At 35.1% G+C, this 26,497-nt stretch overlaps 1 protein-coding gene across 2 annotated transcripts in view; it reads left to right on the top strand.

Annotated features, from left to right (window-relative positions):
• GDAP2 (ganglioside induced differentiation associated protein 2) overlaps positions 1-26,497 on the top strand; it is a 66,137-nt gene that overhangs the window by 21,326 nt on the left and 18,314 nt on the right. For both annotated transcript variants that reach the window (NM_017686.4, NM_001135589.3), the window contains exons 6-12: positions 1,714-1,790; positions 9,080-9,239; positions 11,307-11,463; positions 20,522-20,598; positions 21,643-21,719; positions 24,669-24,808; positions 26,419-26,473. In NM_017686.4, coding sequence (NP_060156.1) covers positions 1,714-1,790; positions 9,080-9,239; positions 11,307-11,463; positions 20,522-20,598; positions 21,643-21,719; positions 24,669-24,808; positions 26,419-26,473 — 743 coding nt within the window. The remainder of the gene's footprint in view (positions 1-1,713; positions 1,791-9,079; positions 9,240-11,306; positions 11,464-20,521; positions 20,599-21,642; positions 21,720-24,668; positions 24,809-26,418; positions 26,474-26,497) is intronic.

Here is a 26,497-nt window from a genome sequence, read left to right as displayed (position 1 = left end):
AGGTGTGCTAGGCCCCAAATTAAAGTAATATTAATATAAAATATACTTGGTCTTCAAAAAGCTTAGTCTAGCTATAAAATGTGAGAAATTCTTAAAATGAAGGGTGTTCAAAAGATTCTAGGAGGGGCATAAAGAAGGGTGGAGATGGCTCTTGGCTAGGTCTTGAAAAATGAGTAGGAGTTCACCAAAAGAAGAGAATGGTGGATGAGTGGTACTCTAGTCAAAGGTAGGCACATGCAAGCAGAGGCAGGGCATCATAAAAGTAAGTGGTATGTTTTGAATACAGCAAAGTAGATTTGGCTAAAGCATAAGATGTGGGAGGAATAATTGAAAACAGGACTAAAGAGCTGAGTGGGGGAAAGTGGACAGTTGGCGTTGGAGTATAGAGAGTCATGCTAGGGTTTTTGAATCTTAACCTGTAAGTAGTGCAGAGCATCACCAGTGTTTATTAAAAAGGGTAACATGAGAAGATAACTCGGGTAACATGAGAAGATAACTCAGGCAACAGTGAGTATGTAGACTTGCGGAAAAAAGACGCAAGGAGAGCAGTTAAGAGCTTATTACCAAAGTCTGTGTGAGCCTTGAGAACCTGAAAGCAGCCAAAAGAAAGGAATAAATGTTAGAAATATTAGCAATAGAATTAAAAGTCATGGGAACTATTTGAAAATGCAGCATGAAGGAAGAGGTAAAGGAAGCATCAAAGACAATTCAGGATTCTAGCTTGGATGATTGGTTGGATGTTGATATGTAACCAAAATAAGGAATGTAGGTAAAAAGGACCAGGTTTGTTCGGAAAAAGATGGCGGTCAGGATTTGGACCTGTTGGGGTCAAATTTGGCTACACTGAATTTGAGGTCTCTGTGAGTTATCTAAGCAGATATACCTAATAGGCATCAGGTAATTTGGGTCTTTTCCTCAGAATAAAGAATATAAAGATTTGGGAGCCATCAGCATTTGAGGTAATACCTATCCAGCACATCAGTGAGCTAAGGAGAATAAGTATATCAAAAAAATAAAAAATATTGAAGGCAGAACCCTGGGGGACAACATTTTTAAAAGATGAGGACATGTGTGTTAAGGGCTAAAGCTAGGGAGAGATCCAATGAGTTAAGAACTGAAGTAAAGGCCAGTAGGTCTTGTTATTAGAAGTTGATAAAGAAGAATTAGGATGACATAGAAATTAAGAAAAAAATAATTGAGCTTTGGTTTTGTGGAGTTTTGTCAGGGTCTGAAGGACTGGGTAGGATATCTAATACTGTAACTGAATGAATGGAAAGACACTTGTGCTAGATCATTCTGGCCCGAGAGAGGCCCCAGGGAATAAGAAGAATATACTGGATAAAAGAGAATTGTATAGAGTCAGCATCTTCTACGGCCAGTCACTGTTCTTGGCATTGGAAATAGAGCAATAAATACAATAAAGCATCTTCTTTATGGAGCTTTCATTCTAGTGAATGAGGCGGAGAGGGCAGGGAGGATAACAATACACAAGTAACTTCATAAAATGTCTATCACAGTTGCTCTGGAGGAAAGCAAATCAGAATTTTTATACAAGTAGTATGGGCAGGCTTCACTGATAGGGTATTACTAAGCAGAGTGCTGAATGAAGTGAGAAGTGATCCATTACAAAACTAAAACATTGAAGAGCTTGATTTTTCTTTATGTATAAGTAATTTTTTATTTATTGAGTAATCTTTCTATTCTTTTCCTTAGGCACTGTAAGAAGATTCCTAGAGATTCATGGGGAAACCATTGAAAAAGTAGTATTTGCTGTCTCTGATCTTGAAGAGGTATTTTGCTAACTGTTACGTTATTTAAATCTTATTTCTATCTTTAAGCATTTGACTTTGGCTTGTCACTACATATTTACTGAGTTTCCAGCAGACAAATCCTAATGATCTATGTATGTATTTGACAGTGGGTCTTACAATCATTCATTGAAAAAGACTATATTGGAAACTAAAAATAAGTCAAGAAGGAGCATTTCGTTCATATTTTTTATAACTGTTGTTGCTGTAAGTGAAATCGTACAAAGTGGAGTTGTTCTGCTTGGCCCTTGTGTTAGCTCTCAAAGCAACACCTTCTAAGCACTGCGTGTTTGGGGAGCATAACTGGAAAACTACTGTGCCAGAAAAGCTTTGGTGTCTGCCTGACCAGGTGACAGCCTAGTCTAGTGGCTGGCACTGTGAGGTTTATGTGTTTTGTTATATGTAGTTAGGTTTAATATATTTCAACTTAATTTCAAACCATTTTAGAAAATCAGTTTATTCTTATCTCATTACACTTTATTTTAGAGTGCTTTGTCTAATTCAGCTTCCAATATTTCCAAGTTTTGTATTATTGAGCAAGTTAACCTCTCTGCTTCAGTAAAATAGAAATACTGATAGTACCTCTATCAGGTTTTTCTTGATAATAAAATAAGCTAATACATTCGTATTAGCTATCTATTAGTGAAGTATCTATTCAAGGCATATATAGCTACATATATAACATATATATGTACTTTTGAATTTGCTGAAAAAAGGCACATTTACTTTATCTCGTTTCATCTGGTTTATTTATACATAGAATCTTCCAGTGATCTTTTACTGAGTGTTAGCATGTAACAGGTTTGCTATATTAGGTCCTGGGAATACACCAGTGAAAAAATCATGGTTGTTTCCTCAAGGAGCCTTTATCATTTTGTGGAAATAGATAATTCAGATAAATTCAGATAATTGTGATAAGTGCATTAATGGAGGTGTGGGAAGGATAGGACATAACTTTAGCCTGGCACGGGGTTAGGAAATGCTTCCCATAGGAAGTGATACATAAGTTGAAATAATTGTAAAAGGTACATAAGATTTGCCGAGGGAGAGAGGCAAATGACAGCGGTCATACAAGCCTGAGCAAAGGCATAGAAATAAGACATAGCATCAAGTGTTTAGTATTGCTGTTGCATAAAATGTGAGGCTGAGAGTGGCGAAAATGAAAGTTAGATAAGGATAAGATCATTCAAGGCCTTGTGTCACATCCTGTAAAATTTAGACTTTATTAATTATGCAGTGGGAAACAGAAGAGCTTTACACAAACAAATGATGTCATCTAATTTCTGTTTTAGCTGTGTGGAGGATGATTTGGAAAGGGAAAGACTAATGGCAAGAAGAGATAACAGGTGGTTGCAGTACTCCACATGAGAAATGATCAGGCCTGAACAAGGGTACTGGTAGTGTTAAAATTTTAAACATTTAGTAAATAAGTTCAACTGGAGTTGGTGGTTGATTAAATACATACGGGAAAAGGAGTTAAACATGACTTCTAGGTTTTTGGCTTGAGTGACTAAATAATGATGCCACCATTGAGATAGCAAATAGAAAGTGGGAAAAGTTTTGGAGATGGGATGAAGACAAATTATTTTCTGAACACGTTGAGTCTTAGAGGATCAGTGGATCATCAGGGCAGAGGCTCAGCGAACCATTGTGCTTATCAGTTTGAAGCTGAGGAGTGAAGTCTAGGTTAGAGATTTGTGCATTTTCATAGGATAGGATACAAATGAGATATGGCTCTTGCTCTCAGGGAGTTGGCGGACTAATGCTGAGACAGCCAGGTAAACAAAGATCACCCTACAGTGTGCCAAATGCTCTGCTAAGGTATGCACCACAGTGCCGTGGCAACTTACCATGACACCTGACCCAGATTTAGAGGAACAGAGAATAAAAGTCTTTGCCCTCAGTATACCTGGGAAAATAATCAACATTTACCATCTTTTTCTCAAAAGTCATTTGTGAATAATTTATGAATAAAGGGATAATGAAAAACAAGTTTATTAGACATTTTAGTAGAGGTATTAGACATTTACCTCTTTGTATCAAGTAAATACTGTTGCACAAACATAAAAGATGAAAGAATACTGTCACACATCCTCTTAGTAAAATGAGATTGTCCAGGTTCCTATCACAAAATAGTATGTGATTAAGTTCTTCCTGTTGAATGACTGAATGAAAATACCATATTTCCTTTTTGTCCTTAGAAAGACACAATGGCTCATGCCTGTAATCCCAGCACTTTGGGAGGCTGAGGCAGGTGGATCACCAGAGGTCAGGAGTTCAAGACCTGCCTGGCCAACATGGCGAAACCCCATCTCTGCTAAAAATAAAAAAAAATTAGCTGAATGTGGTGATGGGTGCCTGTAATCCCAGCTACTAGGGAGGCTGAGATATGAGAATCACTTGAACCCAGGAAGCAGAAGTTGCAGTGAGCTGAGATTACGCCACTGACTTTAGTCGGGGTGACAGAGCAAGACTCTGTCTCAAAAAAAAAAAAAGAAAAAAAAATCATAAACTCATAGATTATTGAATTTGAGAAAGATAACCTAGAATATTGTTGTCTGAAGACTCAGAGTCTGAGATTTTACCTTATACAGTAAATCTTATGATCATCATTAGAGGGCTGCTGTCTCCTTACATTCATCTTTGATTTATTTAATGATTCCAAAATGTTTTCTTCATTTGTCTTCTCTTTACTATTATGGACTGCAAATAAAAAATTACGAATTCTCAACTCTGTCCAGTAAAGTTAAAAATATACTACCTGCCAGAAAACTATAGAGCAATATCTCTTATGAATAGAGATGCAAAAATTATCAAACCAAATCCAGCAACATACAAAAGAATTGTATACTACCCCAAAGTAGGACTTATGTCAGGAATGCAAGGTTAATTCAACATACAAGAATCTGAATCAATGTAATATATCATACTAATAGAATAAAGGATAAAAACCACAGGACCATCTGAATAGATGTAGAAAAGAACATTGAAAAAATGTAACACTCTTTCTTGATAAAAACAGTCAACAAACTAGGAATAAGAGAGAACTGCTTCAGCCTGAAAAAGGGCATCTATGGGAAACCCATAGCTAACATACTTAATGGTAAAATACTGAAAGCTTTCTGCCTAAGATCAGAAAGAAGACAAAGATTTTTGCTCTTGCCAGTTCTATTCAACATTTTACTAGAGTTTCTAGTCAAGACATTTGGCTAAGAAAAAGAGATAAAAAGCACCCGAATTGAAAAGAACGAAGTAAAAGTATCTTTATTTGCAGACGGCATGATCTTATCAAAAATCCTAAAGAGTCCATGCCAAAAAAAAACCAAACAAACACTGTTAGAACTAATAGAGTTCCAGTGGGGTTACAGGACATAAGATCAATATGCAAAAATAAATTGTATTTCTACACACTAACAATGACCAATCCGGAAACAAAAATTAAGAAAACAGTTCTACTTAGAGTAGCATCAAAAAAAGAATCAAATATTTGAACTATACTTAACAAAAGAACAGTAAGATTTGTACATTTAAAACTATAAGACCTCTTTGAAAGAAAATGTTAAAAACACAAATAAATGGAAAGACATCTATGTTCACAGATTAAAAGACTTAATGTTGTTAAGATAACAGTACTGACCATACTCCCTACATTATATTACAGACTTAATTCCTATCAAAATCCCAACTCATTTTTTGCAGAAATTATCAAGTTGATCCTAAATTTCACATGGATATGCAAGAGACCCAGAATAATCAAAACCATTTTGGAAAAAAAGAACAACATTGGAAGATTCACACTTACCAATTTCAAAACTTACTACAAAGCTGTAGTAATCAAGACTGTGGTACTGGCATAAGGATAAACGTATAGGTCAGTGGAATGGAATTTCTGACAGTGGTTTCAAGACAATTTAATGAGGGAAAGAATAGCCTTTTCAACGAATAGTATTGGGACTACTGGATATCCACATGCCAAAGAACAAAGTTGTATTCCTACCTTATAGCAGATACAAAAATTAGCTCAAAAGGAATCTAGGACCTCAATGTAAGAGCTAAAGTTATAAAACTCTTAGAAGAAAGTGTGGGTATAAATCCTCTTGATTGTGGATTAGGCAGTGGTTTATTAGATATGGCACCAAAAGCACAAAAAGCCAAAATGAAAGTGGATAAATTAGGCACTCTTACAATTCAACAAAAGACAAATAAGCAAACTAAAAAGTGAACAAAAGTTTTGAACAGACATGTTTCATGCCTAGGTTTTAATTTACAAAGGTGACTGAGTGATGAGACAAAGAGGTCTATGGCAAGAAACATTGTTTAAAAGAAAGAAAGAAAGAAAAGTTTAATATTTTGCATAGTTCTGCTAGAAAAGAGAGGCATGGGTGCTATGCAGGGCCACGGGAGGAACAGTAGGTTTCAGTCAGGAGGCAGAAGCAGGAGTGTGAGGAAATCCTGAGCCAGAGCCTTTATTGAGTTTTCCTTGGGAAAGGCAAGGCAGGGCAGGACTTACAGTTTAGGACTGGCTAGTTTGAATAATTCCAGCAGACTCTGGGCTATAGGAGTAATCTCTAGATTCCTGATACCTGGCCCTGGATGATTTAGACCAGGAGAAATATTTGCATGGTGTGTAAGAGTTAGATACGGAAATGATTAGGACTGTAGATTTGGGATTGGTTGGTTGGCATATGCAAGATGTGCTGTTTACTATCTTTAGGAATTAGTTATCCCTTACAGGGACAGTCTTCCCAGGCCAGAAAGCTTTAAGATGTGAAAACATGATAAAATAGAAAAAAAAAATTAAACATAATTAACATACATTTATTTGAAGAAGATACACAGCCAGTAAACACTGAAAAGGTGCTCCACACCATTAACCATTAGAGAAATACAAGTCAAAACCACTATGGATACCACTTCACACCCACTAACATGGCTATAATTACGAAGGGAGACAATAACAAGTGTTGGTGAGGATGTGGAGAAATTGGAACCCTCGTAGATAGTTAATTGGAATGTAAAAATGGCACAACTACTTTGGAAAACAGTCTGGCAGTTCATGAAAAAGTTAAACATAGAGTTACCCTATAATGCAGCAGTTTGACTGTTAGGTGTATACAGAAGAGAATTGAAAACATAAGTCCACACAAAAACTTGTACACAAATATCTGTAGTAGCATTATTTATAATTGCCAAAAAGTAGAAACAACTGAAATGTCATCAGCAGATAAATTGATTAAAAAAAAATGTGGTGTGTGTATGTGTGCGTGCATGTGTGTTAGAATATTATTCAGCCGTAAAAAAGGAATGAAGTACTGATACATGCTACAACATGGGTGAACCTTGAAAACATCATGCTAAATGAAAGAAACCAGACACAAAATGCCACATACTGTATTCCATTTTTATTTTTATTTATTATTTATTTTTTGAGACGGAGTCTCACCCTGTTACCCAGGCTGGAGTAGAGTGGCACGATCTCGGCTCACTACAACCTCCAAATCCCAGGTTCAAGCCGTTCTCTTGCCTCAGCCTCCCAAGTAGCTGGGACTACAGGCACCCGCTACCACCCCCTGCTAATTTTTTGTATTTTTAGTAGAGACGGGGTTTCACTGTGTTAGCCAGGATGGTCTTGATCTCCTGACTTCGTGATCTGTCCGCCTCGGCCTCCCTAAGTGCTGGGATTATAGGCGTGAGCCACCGTGCCCGGCCTTTTTTTTTTTTTTTGAGATGGAGTCTCACTCTGTCACCAGGCTGGAGTGCAGTGGCGCAATCTCGCTCACTGCAACCTCCACCTCCCGGGTTCAAGTGATTCCCCTGCCTCAGCCTCCCGAGTAGCTGGGACTATAGGCACGCGCCACCACGCCTGGGTAATTTTTTATATTTTAGTAGAGACGGGGTTTCACCATGTTGGTCAGGTTGATATCAATCTCCTGACCTCGTGATACCTCCACCTCAGCCTCCTAGAATGCTGTGATTACAGGCATGAGCCACTGTGCCTGGCCCTGTATTCCATTTTTATGAAATGTCCAAAAATAGGCAAATTCATAGTGACAGAAAGATTAGTAATTGCCAGGTGTGGGAGAGGGAGGAATGGTGAATGATTTCTGATGGGTTTTAGAGTGATGAAAATGTTCTGGAATTAAATAGTGGTGGTGATTGTACCCCCTTGTACCCCCTTTGTGAATACTGTCTGTGAAAAACCACTGAAACTGGGTATGGTGGTGTACACCTGTAATCCCAGCTACTTGGGAAGTTGAGATGGGAAAAATGCTTGAGTCCAGGAGTTTGAGAACAGCCTGGGCAGCATAGCAACACCTCATCTCAAAAAAGAAAACGAAAACAAACACTGAATTTTGTACTTTAAAAGGGTGAATTTTATGGTATGTGAATTCTGTCTCAGTTTTTTTTTAAAGATTGTATCTCAGTTTTTTTATAAAGGCTATAAAGATGATGTCTGCAATCTTATATATGTATTTAAAAGATGATGCAATACTATGGGCAACACAATATGAAAATGAAAGAAAATGATTTCTTGAATGATTTCATTGTCCTAGGTGATTCCATAATTTTTTTGTTACTATTTTATTTCAGTCTTTTTTAGTATAGTTTGTAATAATTGATGAGTAATTCTAGGTAATGAGAAAACAATTCCTAGGAAGATGAAAATGCAAAATGCTTCAAGATATAGGACAAATAAGAGCACTACATGCCTTTAATGTATTGCAGATTTATTAGTCCAGTGGACCAATCGATATGGGAATTACAAGATAAGATGAGTTTTATTCTGTTTGGTTTTTTTTAAGTAAAATTCATCTTTTTTCTTTGAAAAAAACTTTTAAGAAAGAATAAACATCATGAAAGAGAAATCCTTCACAAACAACTCAGAAGCTAAACATGGTTGAACGGACCCTGATGGCACACTGAGGGTTAAGGAAGTAGCTAGCATCTGAGCCAAGTCTTGAGAGACTGGTATCATTAGGAAGTGAAGGTACGGATGGGGACAGGAGTGGCAGGACTTATGCATTCCAGGTTCAGTGACCTGGAATTGTTAGGATGGGCATCACATTTAACTTGGCTAGATAACAATATCCTTATCTTTAACACAAAAGCTGATTGAGGGTTTCAGACAGTATCGAGTCTGAGCTCAGAAGTGGTAAAGTCTTTATTCTTGATGGAGGTTGTCTTCACAGTGTATGAACAGCACTAAGTACTGCTGAGGTCTTCTTTGTTTTGTTCTATTTTTCACAGAATGTCTTGCTTTTCTGACACAGGGTACTTACCAAAAGCTGCTACCTCTCTACTTCCCAAGGTCATTAAAAGAGGAGAATCGATCATTGCCCTACCTACCTGCAGATATTGGAAATGCAGAAGGGGAGCCTGTGGTACCTGAACGACAGATTAGAATAAGTGAGAAACCTGGTGCTCCAGAAGGTGAGTTCTAGAGCTCTAACTTTTTAAATCTCCCTCTTAGGGCCAAAAATAGGCACCAATCACCAAAGAAGTAAGAAATTCAGCTTGACCTTTGGAAAGCTCTCTATTACCATGACTACTATCAAGACCAGTTTAGAAGTTTTCAAGTTCTATTCTTGAAATTAAAAATAAAAGTATAGCTAGATAGATATACGTCAAGTCTGTGTTAGACAGTGGGGATTAAGAGGTGGCTATAACAACATTCTCACCCTAATGGAGGTTATAGTTTCATGCAGAACACTGTTGAGATAGTAAAGTACGTTATTGTCTAACATTTTAAACAGCTTTCAGTATCCTCTAAAAATCATACTTAACATTAAATACTAAGACAAGAATATTATAACCATTCATTTTGTTTCTTTGGGTTATATACTGTTGTAGGTTGGAGCAGTAGGTAGAACGTGTTAGGATGGGGGCCTTCTGAATCTGCTCTGTGTGACATCTTGTAGTGATGTTCATGTGTACATGTTTAAGGTCTTAAGTCCCTTCTGTGGAGATATGCCTCACAAGCTTCAGTGCTGGGACTGAGTCTTGAAATCCAGCAGTTTAGGGAATTACTGTGAAATTCCTAGAGTGAACATTTCTTTTAAAAATGAGCACCAAGCCAAAATCTTAGGAAGCAACTCAAGATTTTATCACAAGTACATAAACTTTAATCAACTGGAGGGAATTATAAGTGGTCTAACATCAGGAAATGTGAAATATCTGGAAACCAAACTTTGCTGAAGGGGTAGTCATGCACTTTGGGTGAGCCTCCAGTATAGTATATCCTTGAAATAATGCAAAGAGTTGTTTTGAAATCCTCATGCCTGTGACTACCATAGAATTTTTCTTTCATAAAATGCATTTAGTGTGATAATGAGTGGTGAACAGCAAAACCACTTTGAGTGCTGGACAGTAGATAAGACTAATTAATTTGCAAGAAGATTCTCTTCTGTCCACCATTCCCAGAGTGTTTTATTTGCATTCATATCTCAGAAAATACTTTTTGTGATAGATGTAGGCCTTAGCATTCTTAAATATTTTCAAGTAGAATGTTAAATCGTATCTCAGAAAATACTTTTATGTTATAGATATAGGCCGTAGTGTTCTTAAATATTTTCAAGCAGAATGTTAAATCTGTTAAAATATATATAACCAAGCTTTACTTGAGGGGTGTTTTTAATGAAAGCAGGCCCTTCCAATCTATTGGCCTGTCAGTTTGAGGAGCAGTGAAGTAGACGTGGGGAAACTCCAGCTGATTGTCCACCAGGTTGGAATTCAAGTGCTGGCATTGCCTTGGGAATTTCCCCATGGTACGACGTTTGTTTTGTTTTGTTTTTGCTTAACAGATCTACCAAGACAGTGAATACCACACTAAGAGATAATCTGTTCCCAAGAGACTGATTTCTACTAATCCAACTCACAGTGTTTGTATGGACAGATTAGAAAGTTAATTTATTAATTTGTAGTGAAAACTATAACTCTTATGGACCAAAATAACTAGGTTGGTATGACAGTGTAGAAAACCAGGATGCTAAATTATAACTGAAATATTTCTTAAGGAATGTGGATCATACTCTGTGATCCTGGTACATCCATGTTGGGATGTCACCTTACAGAAGAGCATTTATGCAATCAAATGCTTCCTCCTTCAACAGTGCTATATAAACCTTCCCAAATGCTTGTTTTTTATACTTCTTTTTTGTCAGATGCTGTGCAATGAGCCATCTTTAAAGCCAGATACAATCTATTTACTTCTGTCTTTTTGTGTGTGACTACATTCTACTCTTTTCTTCCTAGGGTTACACCCAGGTCACCCTGATTGGATTTCACATATTGCTAAAACCTTTGTCACACATGGACAGGCAGTTTCTTTCATTATTTCAGCTTTACAAATGCCTAAATCTGATTACAGTTTCATTCTCAAAAATAACCTTGACCCCAGTTTTTTGAGTTACCTCACTGTCATCCTTACTGCAGCATTCACAATGTTTACTATCTAGTTTTAGCATAAGCTCTCTATTGATAGTTGCATTTTTGTTACAGATAACCAAGAAGAGGAGGATGAAGGCTTGGGAGTTGATCTCTCTTTCATTGGCTCTCATGCTTTTGCTCGAATGGAAGGAGATATTGACAAGCAAAGAAAACTGATCCTTCAGGGACAATTATCAGAGGCAGCTCTGCAGAAGCAGCATCAAAGAAAGTAAGACAACCCTTCAGGACTGTTAGATACATAAGGACATCAGAAGCAAGAAAGGAACCTTGCATCTGATGCATGAGCTACGTGTATATATAATGCATTCCAATTTATTTTTCATGACAATCAGTGAGGAAGATATCGTCCTCATTTTGGAGGTGCAAAAACTCAAAGTTAAGAAAGTTATCAGTGGCCACAGTTAATATGTGGTGAAACCAGTGGTCAGATACATGTCTGATTTCAGAGCTCCTACCCTGTCTACTACAATAGTAATGCCTCCATGCGAGGTTTATATTCTAAAAGGAGAAATTAGAAAAGGGAAAGGCAGTTATAAAGCTTTTACTTAGCTCTACTATGTTTATAATTAAAGCATAATCTACAGTTGAATTAAATTTAAAAGAGCCTTATTTCTCCCTGACTTATCCGAAGGACCTTACAAGACATCCAAACCATTCCATTTCTTCCATATGTCTTCTAAAGCAATTTTGAAGGAATCCTTTTAAAAACATAGAAGCAGCTTTGTACTTTTGGGTAAGCTTTCCCAAAGATCAAGTCTTTGTAAAGCTGGCTGCTTTTCAAAAAAGTCTAAAGAAAATTAAAGTAAACAAACTATAAATGTCTACTATCCATTACCTTATAGGGTTGATGGAGGGTTAGCACCTCATAGGGTTTTTGTGAGCATTAAATGAGGTAATGTAATGAGCTTTAGCACAGAACCTGGTACTTGTCAAGCTCTTAAAATTGTTCACTGCTGTACTGAGCAAATCATGGCTTGTTTTATCTTTGAGCTTTGGTACTTGCCATTCCTTTTGAATGGGCTACTCTCATCCTTCAATTTCTGTCCAGATTTCAAAAGCAGTTGCCTCTGGAGACCTACCTCCCAAGTCTGGAACAGATGCCACCTCCTGTATGCTTTTTTCATACCCTGTACTCACCCAAAGCATAGCATAGCATTTTTCACGCTGTATTGTAATGATGTCTGCATGCTATCTGTCTCCACTGATAAAGTGGGAGTTGGACTACATGAACTCTCCAGTCACTTTCAGAACTAGTATTTTGTGTCTCCTCAATCCCAGGTCTTCCTTTATTCTGATTTTAATTTGAAAAACAAAAGCGTATGAGCCACTAGGGGGCACCAAGGAACAGCTTTTCCAAGTGAGGCAGTCACAGTCAAATGATACTTTCAGTGGTTTCTAAACTTGGCCATATGTGTAAGACTCATCTGATGGACATTTTTCATTAAATACGGTGCCTGGGCTCCTCACATTACTGGGATCTGGGACTTCTTTAGTATCGAGTCTCCTTTGCACTCTTAAAAATTGTTGAGGACCCCAGAGAGCTTTTGTTTTTATGGGTTGTATCTATCAATATTTATCACATGAGAAATTATTTATTTATTTTAAAATAACTTTTTTATTGAGAAAGATAGCAGTGTTTTTTTTTAATCTTGCAAATTGTTTAATGTTTGATTTAATGGAAGACAGCCAGATTGTCCTATCAGCATTCAAACTGCTGCAGTAAGTTGTTTTGACTAATGTATATGAAGAAAACCTGACCTCACTGAGATTTTAATTGGAAAATGGAGGAGTATTTTAACAGCCTTTTAAAATAATTGGGATATTCTTCTTTGATACTATACCAGAATTTGATAAATAGTAGTGTTTTAAAACATAGTTGTAATGCAGAATCTCAAACTGTATCCATGAATTTTTTTAATTCTATTATATTAAAATGTGGTGTTCTGTACTTTGGACAGATTTTATAATAGGAATGTATAGCATGACTTTATAACATGATACGTTAGCTTTTTGGAAAGTATTGATTCATTGAATTATTCAGAGCTCCAAGTATTGACACATTTCATTACACAGTATCAAAAAATTATATTTGTTAGTATCGATTGTATAGTATCACCAATCTCATCAGAAAAGTATTTAATATTAGGAACTGTCAAGCTTCTGATGACAATAAAAATGTTTCAAATATGTATATATTTAAAGCTCAAGTTTTATCATTGGCAACAAATACTGTTGATTATTTTTCTTGAAATGTCAGGGTCACTTTATTCATTTTTGGGAAAACACCTGCCACATATTCATGTTGAATAACTACAGTTTGCCAGTCATTCTTTGAAGTAAAAATGGTGTTGCATGAAAAAAAGCAACTAGTCCAGCTCACAACTCAATCAAATAGTGCTTTTCTTCAAGGCAACTTCACACTTCAATATGCAGAAGTACTTTATGTGTTCTTCCATTTTGTCTTCCATTAATTTAAAAAGATGGGTTCTCAAGAACTGATTTAATAAAATTAATAATCTTTACTTCTACATCGAAGACATTCTTAAATGCAGCTGGCCTTTTTTGTTTATTGGTGCCACTGCCTTGATTTGTGGTAAGGCTATTACCAGCTGTTTTTACCCATTAGTTGCTTTTGCACTATCAATGTAAATGTCTATGCAGTGAAAAATGCAAATAATGTTATTACAAAAATAGTTTTAAACTTACAGCCTCCTAAAGGCATTTCAGGATCTCTTTAAGAAAAAAATTGGCCAGACATGGTGGCTCATGCCTCTGTTCCCAACTACACAGGAGGCTGAGGAGCCCAGGAGGTGGTGGAGATTGCAGTGAGCTGTGATCACACCACTGCACTCCTGCCTGGGCGAAAGAGAGAGACCCTGTCTCAAAAAAAAAAAAAAATGTTATTGAGACTTATTTTTCTTTTTCATTCACATTCTCTCACAGTGTTCAATGGAGTTTTCTGGAGGCCACTCACTATGTGATATTACAGTAATTTAAATGCAGACGCACATATGAGAATCTAGCAGAAATTAAAGAGATTTGCAAGTTAAAAAATACAACTCTTCTCTAAATACAGCTTTTTTAAAAAAAGTTATGTTCACAAAATAGGTTTTTCATTGTTTTTAAATTAATGAATATTTTTTAAATTTCTCTGTTTTTATTTCTAATGAGAACTGGTAGATATAAATGACACAAACAAAAGATGTTTAAGGTCCTCAATAATTTATAAAAACATAAAAATGTCTGTGTTTTATATAGATATATTTTGGTCCTGAGACCAAAAAGTTTTAGAATTGATGGCTGTTTATTGAGGAGTTTATGATATAACTAAGCTATGTCAACTGTTTGCATGCTCAGCCGTATTTGAGATTGTAGGTTGTAGTTTTTAAAATTTCTTTCTCTTGATATTTCTAAATCGGGCTTTTATTTTCACATATTGAGTCTGGCTTCTGTTGATTATGTTAATTAATTAGGTTGAACAAATGTAAAAGTAAGTAGGTTTTTAGTTAGTAAATATCTTTTCAAAAGCCTTCAATTCTTCCATCAGTAGCGAAACTAAAGGTCACATGGATTGGCAATAGTTTTATGTCACTCCTTTCGTAGCACTGCCTTGTCACCTCAGTATCTCTTCAAAATAATTGTTTTTAACATGAAAAATTAGACGTGCTTTCTAATCCAGGTCTGTCATCCAGTTGTGATTCTGATTTGGGTGTATCATAAGGTAGACATTGGTTTACTTACCAAAATTAGGAAGCAACCTAGATACTCTTTTTCAAAAATACTGCTTTTGAAACTCTTCAAGTTATTTTACAGGAAGATTTCCTTTCCTTTTTTATTAGTATTACTTGACTGGCTTAAGATTCAATTGCCTGTGACTCTTATGTCATTTTTCTCAACAAAATCATTATCTTTTTCATTATTAAATACTTATTAAGCTTTTACTAATGTGCCAAATGTTGTGCTGGATACTACTGGTAATAAAGTGACAAGCAAGACAGATACAGCACCCGCCTGCATGGAGCTTAGGGTCTTGCAGAGGAGAAAAATGTTAAACTAATTAGTATATGAATAATTGTTTAAATTACTGTACAGGGTCAATAAGAGGATACAACAAAGATCTTAACTAAATCTAGGATGGGTCAATTGTATAAGGTCTGGGAAAGCATCTGCTAATTCCAAAGACAGAATTTTCCCTGGGCGATGATTATACACAGATGGGTTAGTTATTAGTCTTTTAAGAGTGATACAGTTTAAATTTTTTTTGTCATTCAGCTGCTGGCTGTACAGGTGGATGGTAATTTATTAACTGGAAGAAACTGGCTTATATTAGCTTTGTGAGAACAGTGTCCAACCTCAGTTGGTTGCAACCCATTGAGAAACTAATTAGTGTTTCTGCATTTAGAGCACTGTAGTGGCTATTTTTTTCTGCCATTTTGACATATTTTGTACGATTATTTATCCATGATTATTATATTTACTCATAAAATAATAGAAGTTTGTTTATTTGGAATAAGAAAGTACTCTATATAGGATATTTAGGAAATATCCTGTAGGAAACCCAGAAACTATTTTGAGTTCATATTTTCCTTTTAGCTTTGTTTTGATTTTTGGATTGGAACAAAAGATTGCATGTCTTCCTTTAAACAAAACAAAACACTATAGCAAAAAGTGAGGTGCTGTTTATAAGAAATGTAATAGAAAACATGAAATATTCTTTGAATAATGAAGTTTAGAAAAAAAGGAGGGTATTGTCTATTGAGTGAGAAGAGTAACAGTCTTTTTGCTTTTACTCTTTCTTCCCAACTGGTGATTTTTTTAAAATAATGACTAAATAATCAGACTTACACAATCTATAGTGGTAATGGCAGAGACTTAATTAGAATAAAGAAGAAACCTGATGAAGATTGCAATCATGAGTTGTTGCATGGTCCTTAGAAACCAGAACAGGACCAGTGTCTCAGCAGTGATTCTAACCTTTTAAAAATCATGAACCCTTTAAGAATCTGATGTAAACTATAAACTTCTCCCCACAAATATGTTCATAGAGATTTTGTCAACCAAAGTCTATCTTTAGATCTCAAGTTGTTAATCATCAATCAAGGTTTAAACATTTTAGAGTTTATACTAATTCTGTGTTCACACTATGGACAAATCAACTTTAGATAGATTAAGGACTTAAATTTTTAAAAATTCTGAAACCTGTGGAAGAAGTTAAGCTAGTATCCTTCAAACCTTAGAGAAAGGGAAGATTTTTTTAAAGACATGAAAAGCATTTACCACCAAAGAAAAAATAGTTTTGACTATATTAAAATTAAGAACTTTTGAAAGTAGAGCCAAGCTTAAACAAAGTAAAAAGCAAGTTACGGAATGGGGGCAGATATTCACAAAACACACAACAAATGATCAGCATCAAGAATGTGTAAAGAACTACAACTTGGTGAGAAACAATCAAATAACCCAATAAAAAATGGAAAAATGATAGGAACAGGCATCTCATAGAATCAAGTCAACATGAGCAGAATCTCAACCTCATTACTGACCAGAGAAATGCTTTACCATTTCTAACCTATCCAACTGGCAAACACTAAAACATCTAATAGTAGCAAGTGTTGGTGAGGACAGGGATTCACAGTCTCATATGCTTCTTATAGAAGTATAATTTGGTGCAATGCTTTGGAAAAGAGGTTTGTCCTTATCTCCTAAAATTAAACATTCCCTGTAACCTAGCACTTTCACTCATTGGTACCTACTCAAGAGCAATCATGCACATGTATACCAGGAGACACGCAAAACAAGTTGATTGTAGCCCTCTTCACAATAGCAAAACCCTGGAAACAGCCCAAGTGCCCATCAGTGAGAGAGTGAATGAAAAAAATCTATAGTTTTTATCTAGTATGAATACATGATATATACAGATTAAGTATGCCATATCCAAAATTCTTGGGACCAGAAGTGTTTCAGATTTCTGATTTGTTTGGATTTTGAAATATTTGTATCGTACTTACCAGTTGAACATCCCAAATCCCAAAAATCCGAAATGTTCCAGTGAGCATTTTTGTTTTAATTGTTATGTTGGCACTCAGAAAGTTTTGGATTTTGGAGCATTTCAGATTTTGTATTTTTGGATTTGGGATGCTCAACCTGTGATTGTCCAAATCAATCAACGACATTGAAATCCAGTGATACGGATGAATGTTAGCAATATGATAAGTCAAAAATGTAAGACCCAAGAGATTACATACAGCATGATAAGCTTTTTTAAATAGTTAGAAACAAACAAAAAATAATGTCTTACATTGACTACATGTAGATGAATTTAAAACAATATAAAAAGGAAAGCAATAAATGATTAACCTGGAATTCCAGATAACGGTGGGAAGTAGCACATGGTTAGATGAAGGTTATTGTGAAAGTGCTAATTTTTGTTATAGTGGTAGATTTTAGGGTGCTTATTACTTCATTAAAGATAAATAATTATATAACTAGTCTTCTAAGTGGACCATGCATATACCAGTTATGCGAGTGTTTTCAATTAAAGATGATGTATTCCATTTTGTACACCTGAGTTCCAGTTAAAAAAAATTTTTTTCAGAGTTCATTGAATATAGATAGATATAGATATAGATATAGAGATTGAGTGTCAGGAACTACCCTAGGAATTGGCTAGAAATGAGAGACAAATATGACATATTGTCTATCTGGTGGTCTAATGTAATAGAAATAGCCTTTTCAATAAGTGTGTAAAATCTTGCACTGAACATGGTAGAAGTCTTTGGGGATACAAAGAAGGGAGCATTTGTTTCTACGACATGTCTAGAATTTGCCTCCACTCTGCTCCTTCTCACCCCACCTCCTTCCCCACCACCAGTCCCCTTCTCAGCATACATATTTGATTGATAGAGTATTTAGACTTCTGGTTACCTGTCTTGTTCTTATTACAAAGTTAATTTTCTTCGTACTGTAATATGTCTGTCTCACATATGCAACCTTAAACTCAAGAGCCTTTTTTAATTCATCTCAGGCCCCAAAATACCTTACATAATACTCATGTTTATTATTTCATTTAGCAAAGAATTTAGTACCTACTATGATGCAAACACTGCATTTATTCAATAAATCTTTGAAAAATGAGCCAATGGATACATGAACAGAGTATAGAAGTTAATAGGTATTAATTGAATCCTGTTATATGCTTTGTGCTAGATACTGTGGTGCCCATATGATGTAATATACATTTTGCTGTTTAGTCTCATTATAAACAATTAGTATATAATAGAATGATTTAAAAAACATAATAAACTCTATACTTTTATTCTTCACTGCCACATTTTTGATGTCATAATTTACGTTTTTATATTATTTTTGTCTCTTAACAAATTATTGTTGCTATTATTAATAGTTTTGTCTTTTAACCTTCATACTAAAGATATAAGACAGTATGTTAAGTGAAATAAGTCAAGCACAGAAAAACAAATATAGCATGATCTCACTTATATGTAGAACCTAAAAAAACTGAACTCAGAAAAACAGAGAATAAAGTGGTTATCAAATGCTGGTGGTATTGGGGTGGGATTGGGGAGATGTTGGTCAAAGAATACAAAATTTCAGTTAGACGAGAGGAATAAGAGATTTATTATATAATACGGTGACTGTAGTTAATAAGAATGTGTTGTATACCCGAAAATTGATAAAAGAATACATTTTAACTGTTCTCACCAAAAAAAAATGATAAATATGTGAGATAATGGATATGTTCATTAGCTTGATTCAGCCATTTTACAATGTATCCGTATATCAATACATTACATACATTATTTGTCAAAGAAAATAATTTTTTAAGTAAAGAAATAGAATTTTGATTTAGTGTAAATAGGAAATGACTGTATGAAAATATGGAATAGTGCATATGATTTAGGGAGAACTACAATAAACATAGGCATTTTCTTGACTTTGAAATTATATTTTGAAACAAAATTAAAAGCTACTGTCTTTGACTTTTCAATTTGCATAGATTGGTAAATCACAAATTTGAGAAGGCAGTCTATAGAACTAATGCAGTAACACTGTGTTTTTTACAAGCAGTAACAATATCTGTGAAACTAACAGGCATGTCACTTGTTGATTTCAGTCTGTATGTGACAGACTTCCCATTAAATATTTTCAGTTGTGCAATTGTACTTTATAGCTGAAAGGTGTCCCTCCCATATGAACACCATTTTGCAGGTGAGGAAACTGAATTCCATAAAGGTAAATGACTTTAGTAAGTTTGCACCGAAAGCAGTAGGATTAGAAGCCAAATCTCCCCTCTCCTAGTTGTGCTTTTTGTTGTTGTTGTTACTGGATATTGCCATATATGATTTAGACACTTCAGAGTTGCTTTTCCTACATTTAGGTGTCTTGAAAGCGTTTTCACAATCAAGTAATTGGCACTTTTAATTTCAAGAAATTAGTATGATATAGTAGAAAAAGCACTGACCTTTCCGGAAATCTAGAGACCTGAGTGCAACTTCAAATTCAACTCTACTATTTAATAGGCTGGGAAGTCTGAGATGAACTTGACCATTAATCTTTTGCATGTCATTTCCATCTGCAAGATCTTTAATGTCTCTTCCAGCTTTAACATCCTCTTAGCCAAAGCCAAACTGCAGTCCATATGATCTGGTCTGTGGGATATCACTACAACTAGTTTGACTAACTGATGATTAAATATTCCAGGACTTCCCAGATAAATTTACCCAACTCCTTTGTGATCCCACATAACATGTACAGCACTTGCCTGTTTTTCCCCTGAAAAGTGAACTTCTTGAGGGAGGCAACCATGTCCTTTCATGATAGTATTCTCAGTAACTATCATAGAGTAAGCACTCAAATCCTTGTTGAGTGAGTGAGCATCTGTTTTGAAACTCTGCCATTGCTTTAGACTTTCTCTATGCATGTTTTTAGTAAAGGAAAACAATAGTATTTTAAAACAAGGTTAGTTTGAATACTTGGTATCTTAGCCATTTACCTGTACAACCTTCATTTGATTATAAGGATTTTTAAAATAATGAACACCTTCCTTTCTCAATAATTCATTTGTGTTTATTTTATCAATAACATGTAGTAGAGATTCTACATGGCTTAATGCTTCTTTAACTCCTTCCCTATTATAATGAAATATATACTTGAAAATTTTTAGGGTCAGGGAAGGGTATTAAAAATTGGTCCCATTTGTAAATTTAATTTCCAAGGGTTTATTATAATGATTATATCATTTATTTCCCTAGTTATAATCGCTGGTTATGTCAAGCAAGATCTGAGGATCTGTCTGATATTGCTTCTCTAAAAGCCTTATACCAAACAGGTGAGCTTAAATATATGGTAACTTATTCTTTCACTAATTAAGAGCCCTACCAAGCATGCTATTTGAGAATTCATTTTTCTCTGATTTCATTTATTGTATCTATGAACAAAATGGTTTTGTACTAATAAAGATAGTTTTGCCTGTCATCAAGATCTTAAAAATAACATCCCAATCTATAACATTTTCAACTTACAGTTCTGCATTGGCCAACTTTATTTCATGCTAGTGTCCCTTTTAAAAAATGTTTCTGCTTTTAAAAGTACCATATGCTTGCTACTACAAAATTCAAACCTTACGTAAATATATGATGGAGAGAGTGAAAGTTCCCAGATTCCCACTCTTTCTGCATTGTATTTCTTTTACAGACGGTACTTTTTAGTAATTTTCAGATTTGAGTGCTATTTAGTTTTGCCTGGATCAAAGTTGTAGTGAGCTTAAGCAAAAAGCTGTTTATAAAAAGTTTTTGGGGGCTGGGCATCGTGGCTCATATCTGTAATTGCAGCACTTTGGGAGGTGGAGACAGGAGGATCATTTGAGACCAGGAGTTCAATACTAGACTGGGCACCATGGTGAGACCCCATCTCTACAAAATAATGAAAAAATTAGCCAGGTGTGGTGGTGCATGCCTGTAGTCCCAGCTGCTTTGGAGGCTGAGATGGGAGGATTGCTTGAGCCCAGGAGTTGGAGACGGAGGCTGCAGTAAGCTATGATCACACCACTGTACTCCAGCCTGGGGACAGAGCAAGATCCTGTCTCTAGAAAATAATAAAATATTTTAAAAGATCTTTGGCTGTTTGTTCTTGATTTAAAATCTTTAAGAGGTCTTCTCTTAAAAGGGCAGTGATCAAAACCCTCATGAAGCTTTAAAAAATAGGTGTTGTCTGCAGAGTAGAAAAAAAATTGGAAGATGAAATTTGAGCAACTTATACTTCCTTGTTTTCAATCTTTTAAATTCACATAGAATATTTTATAAAGTCAGAGCCCAAGACAAATAGTATTCTTGGAATGAAGTTTCTGGGTGCTGATGACATTTCCTGTTTATAGGTGTTGATAACTGTGGTCGAACAGTGATGGTGGTAGTTGGAAGAAACATTCCTGTAACATTAATAGATATGGACAAGGTAAGCCATAAAAAGGCTCTGTTTTACAAACAATGTTGATTGAAAAAATAAGTAGTATATGAATTTGGAATCAAGGCCTACAATATGAATCAAGGCTGAATTGTGTATCACTGACAGAGGAGCAGACCTGGTTCTATGAGTGGACCTGTATCATTTCAGTTCGATTAGGGGTTTGATTTTTCTCTGTCCAAGAAATAAAAAATACTGGAATACAGTAATGTGATCTCCAAAACCACAACTGCTTTGTTTTGGATATGATGTAACTAGTAAGTGGTTGGAATCATTCTGTATTATAATTGTGTAATCAAATTCTTTTTTGAAAAAAGAAAAATTAATGTTTGAGTATCTATTAGAAGAGAAAAAAACAGAAATGTAGTTTACCCAAGATAGCATAATTCTATAATCCCTTCATTTGGAGGCAAAGAACAGAAATAGATGATTCATAAAAGAAAAATGGTTATAACTGGTAGATAAAAATAAGAAAATATTCAATGTGATTAGTAGTCCAAAAAAGGTGAATTAAAATGAGATGCCTTAACTCTTAAATAATTATTGTCATCAAAGATGAAACTATAAAAGTGATCACACCCATTAATCTATTAATTTCATTTCTGAAAACTTACACTAAGGAAATAACCCAAAGTGTGGAAGTAGCTATAGGCCCTGACACTATTCAAATCAGAATACTCATACAAGGGACAATTGAACCCACAAGATAATTATGTAGAGAATCCTAGCACATCAGTTTTGTTAGGAACTGACTTCAAAGGATGATAACTTTAACTGATCAGTAATTATTAACCATAGTAAAAAAAAAATTGTATACTTAAAAATGCAAAATTACACAGAATTTAAGATAAACCAGTTGGACAAAAGCTGATAATTACTTCTGGCTAAGTCCTCAAACTCTTAGGCACTGTTGTTGGGTAAAAAAAACTGTGAAAGCACTGAACCAGGCATATTATTCACAGGGTCATTTGTAGCAAAAAGTTAAAACTTAAATTCCTCACAGATAATTATGGTACATTCAAATAGGATATTCTGTGACCCTTATAAATTATGGTTACAGAGGCAAGTACTGTAGAGAAGTGTTTAGAATATAATAGGAGAACAGTGATACATTAATTTGTATCTACATTGACCTTCATTGGGTTTTTTGTTTTTAAGCACAAAAACAAGGAAAATATCTCAAGGAAAGGGATTTCATGGTTTGGGGGAGAATTTGTCTTTCACATTTTTTCGTCATATATAGTGATATAGTTATATAGTGATAAAAACTTAAGAAGTTGAATTTGAAGCCAAAAAGGAGTATCCTAATTGCCCTGGGGTGGGGGGTGGAGAATGGACAGAAAGAAGATGAAGCAGCAATCTGGTAAGAGGATAAAAAAGAATAATAAAGAATAATAAAAATATGCACACAGCCAGGTGTGGTAGTTCATGCCTATAATCCCAGCACTTTGGGAGGCTGAGGCAGGCAGATCGCTTGAGCCCAGGAGTTCGAGACTAGCCTGGGCAACATGGCGAAATCCTATCTCCTATCTATTTTGTCCGAAAAATACAAAAATTAGCCAGGCATGGTGGCACATGCCTGTAGTCCCAGCTACTTGGGAAGCTGAGGCAGAAGGATCATTTGAGCCCAGGATGCAGAGGTTGCAAGATCTCCCAAACCAAGGTCATGCCATTGCACTCCAGCCTGAGTGACAGAGAGCGACCCTGTCTCGAACAAACAGAACACACACACACACACACACACACACACACACGGAGGGAATAAACTGATGAAAATTATACCGTTAGTAAGTTTCTGTTTGTAATCATTTATGTTCTTAATAATCAGTGTGACCCTCATTTTCATAATAATGTGATTAATACAAATAAAACCATAAATCTTTGCATTTGATTTTGGTGTGTACTTGCATGGGGTTCTGGATATTCATGATGTATCATTTCCTGTAAAATATTGAGATAGATGGTGATAATAATAATTGTTACCAAAGCAGGTAATGAATGGAAAGATACTGTGTTTTCTTAATGCCCTTCTCTATCTGCTCTAGTAGCAGTTGGATCCTAGTCCATGTTAATCCAACCATGTTAATGTCAAGGACTCATCTGAAGAGGAATTGGAAAACAGTTTGTTTTACAGTAATCCTTCAGTTGTTACCTCTTAGCTTTTTCTATGTGATTGTTTACAGCTAAACCACTGGGTCATACTGGCCCTGCCTATATTGTATCTCTGTTTTGTTTTTAGTGTTTCTCTTAAATTCATCATTTTTGTAATGGAATATTTCTATAACCAATCTGGGTCACATTAAATTTGAATCTTTCAGAGCTCTAGAAATGCTTCCCAACCTATTGCCATCTACTGATTAAACCTGCTGTCAATGTCCTCCTTCAGATCAGCACTAAAGATCTAAAAAAATTAGCTCTCAACGTGAATCATGTGAGGCACCACTCATTACATCTTTTTATAGTAATTCTTGGTTATGTGCAGGCCATGAGTCTATTTCTGAGTAGAGACTGCAAAGACTTTGATTGAATTCAAGCGGAAACTTCAAAAATGATTAAAAGTATAGAAATTCTACTTCTAATGATTTCGATATCATTGTCCTGGAGAGAGAAAACCTGGTAGTTGATCCAAGAACTTTTTCCAGTATATGAAGAATTGTTTTAGAGGATAGAGACTGATTGTTCTCCTCTATCACTTAGAATAAGACAGAAAGGAATTGTACTGTAGCACTTATGAGAATTATTAAACACTGGGATGATTCACTTTCCTGGAGCTCTTTTTAAAGAGAATGGATATTCATCACTCTGAGTTATCCATTTATGATGACTAGGGCATAGAGTAGGTTAATTTTCTATTTTGTTTTGTTTTGTTTTTTCTTGGTCTCTGTGAAATAGACTACTGTTCAAAATGATCTTCACCTTTATTCCCCTTTTATCTTTTAGGCTCTCTTATATTTCATTCATGTAATGGATCACATTGCTGTGAAGGAGTATGTATTAGTGTATTTTCACACCCTGACCAGCGAATACAATCACCTGGACTCCGACTTCCTGAAGAAACTCTACGATGTTGTTGATGTCAAGTTAGTTATTTTTGCAAATTATGAAGGGGAAATAGTTTCTTTCTTTTCTAATATTAAGCAGTGGCAAACATTGCTTTGTATTCTGTGAAAGGATATTTCATGTAACAAAGACTTTTATCATACCTAGATTAGATACTTCAATCATAGGAGACCCTCCGTAACTGAAACTTATTTTGCATTAAAGTAAATTCATATGTAAACTTTTTACATTACCAATCTTTGTGGATAAAATAACAAAAATACTACCTTCTATTTATATGATGTATTATACTTATCAAAATACATTTATAAACATTATTTACTTTGATCCTTTAACCCAGGAGTTGGTTAGGAGAGATATTATCTGTGTTTGAAAGATGGAAGATATTGACATTCTGCAAGGTGAAGTATGTGCCCAAAGTCTCACAACAGTAAATGCAGAATTTGGACTTGAACCCAGGTTACTGACTTGGAGCTAGAAAATTATTTTCATTAAAGCATATTTCCCTTGAAATGATAATGGAAATTTTAACCAGAAAATACATGATACCCCACTATAGCAAAGATGAAATGTAGTGTTTTACATTTTTTCTTATTTTTTTTTCTGAATAAAAAGTGGCACTCAACCCTCCTGTTAGCTGTTCTGTTATTTGTAGCATCACAATGTCTGTGTGGATTGCATTGAAAAGCCCATTTTACAGTTAGGGTACAAAGAAGGCAAGTTACCATAAATTTCCAGCTATCCTACTTCTCCCATTAAATCTCATCTTATTTAGGAATATTAAAGCTTTCATTAGCCAATAGACACCTTTTTAGCTTACTCTGAATGTGGGTTGTATATATGTAGTTCTGCTTCTACCACTAACCAGTTCTTAAACGTGGAACAGGCCTCAACTGTGAAATAGTTTGTACTATTTCTCTGACGTCCTTTCCAATTAACTTCACGTGACCCAATGTTGATTACTGAACTGTTGAAAAAATCTCAGGCACACGTAGAGAGGCCAGATGGAATAGTGGATAGGAGAATGAATCTGGAGTGGTATTGCCTGGGTTCAGTTCCTGGCTCTGCCACTTGATGACTGGGTGACTTTGGGAGGGCAAAAATAGCTGCAATAATAGTACTGAGCTCATAGAATTGTTTTGAGAATTTAAGTAGAAGGCCTCTACAATTTCTGGGGCACAGCAAATTCTGTTATAATATTGTTATTATAACAGATTGTTACAACAATCTGTTGTTGTAATATGACCATTGAAACTTTTAGTTTAAAATTTTGCTATAATTTTAAGTGGTTTAGCTGCTGTTTAACTCTGATCCCAGAGATTCTAGCATCATATTAAAAAATGACACACCATAAATTTGTTTCTTAAATACAAATTTACTTAACTTTGTCCTACCTATAGCAGCTGACAGAAGCACTTAATATCTCCTATAAAAGAGATACTTTAAAAAATGGAATGTTCTCTGAATTGTTTTTGGCATTCACCTAAAATTCAATCTGTAAATTATAGCTGTCTTTATTTTTCTCTGAATATATTTATATACTCAGGCAAATAGTTAATAGTCTATAATAGTAATTGGTTTTAGGCATGAACTTATACTGATTTTTTTTGTCATTTTATTTTTGGATCAGGTACAAGAGGAATTTGAAGGCTGTTTATTTTGTACATCCCACATTTCGTTCAAAGGTACAGTATTTTTCTCTTTGGTTA

Source organism: Homo sapiens, chromosome 1 (assembly GCF_000001405.40).
Source record: "Homo sapiens chromosome 1, GRCh38.p14 Primary Assembly".
NCBI classification, from domain to species: Eukaryota; Metazoa; Chordata; class Mammalia; order Primates; family Hominidae; genus Homo; species Homo sapiens.
This window is presented reverse-complemented; position numbering and strand designations above follow the sequence as displayed.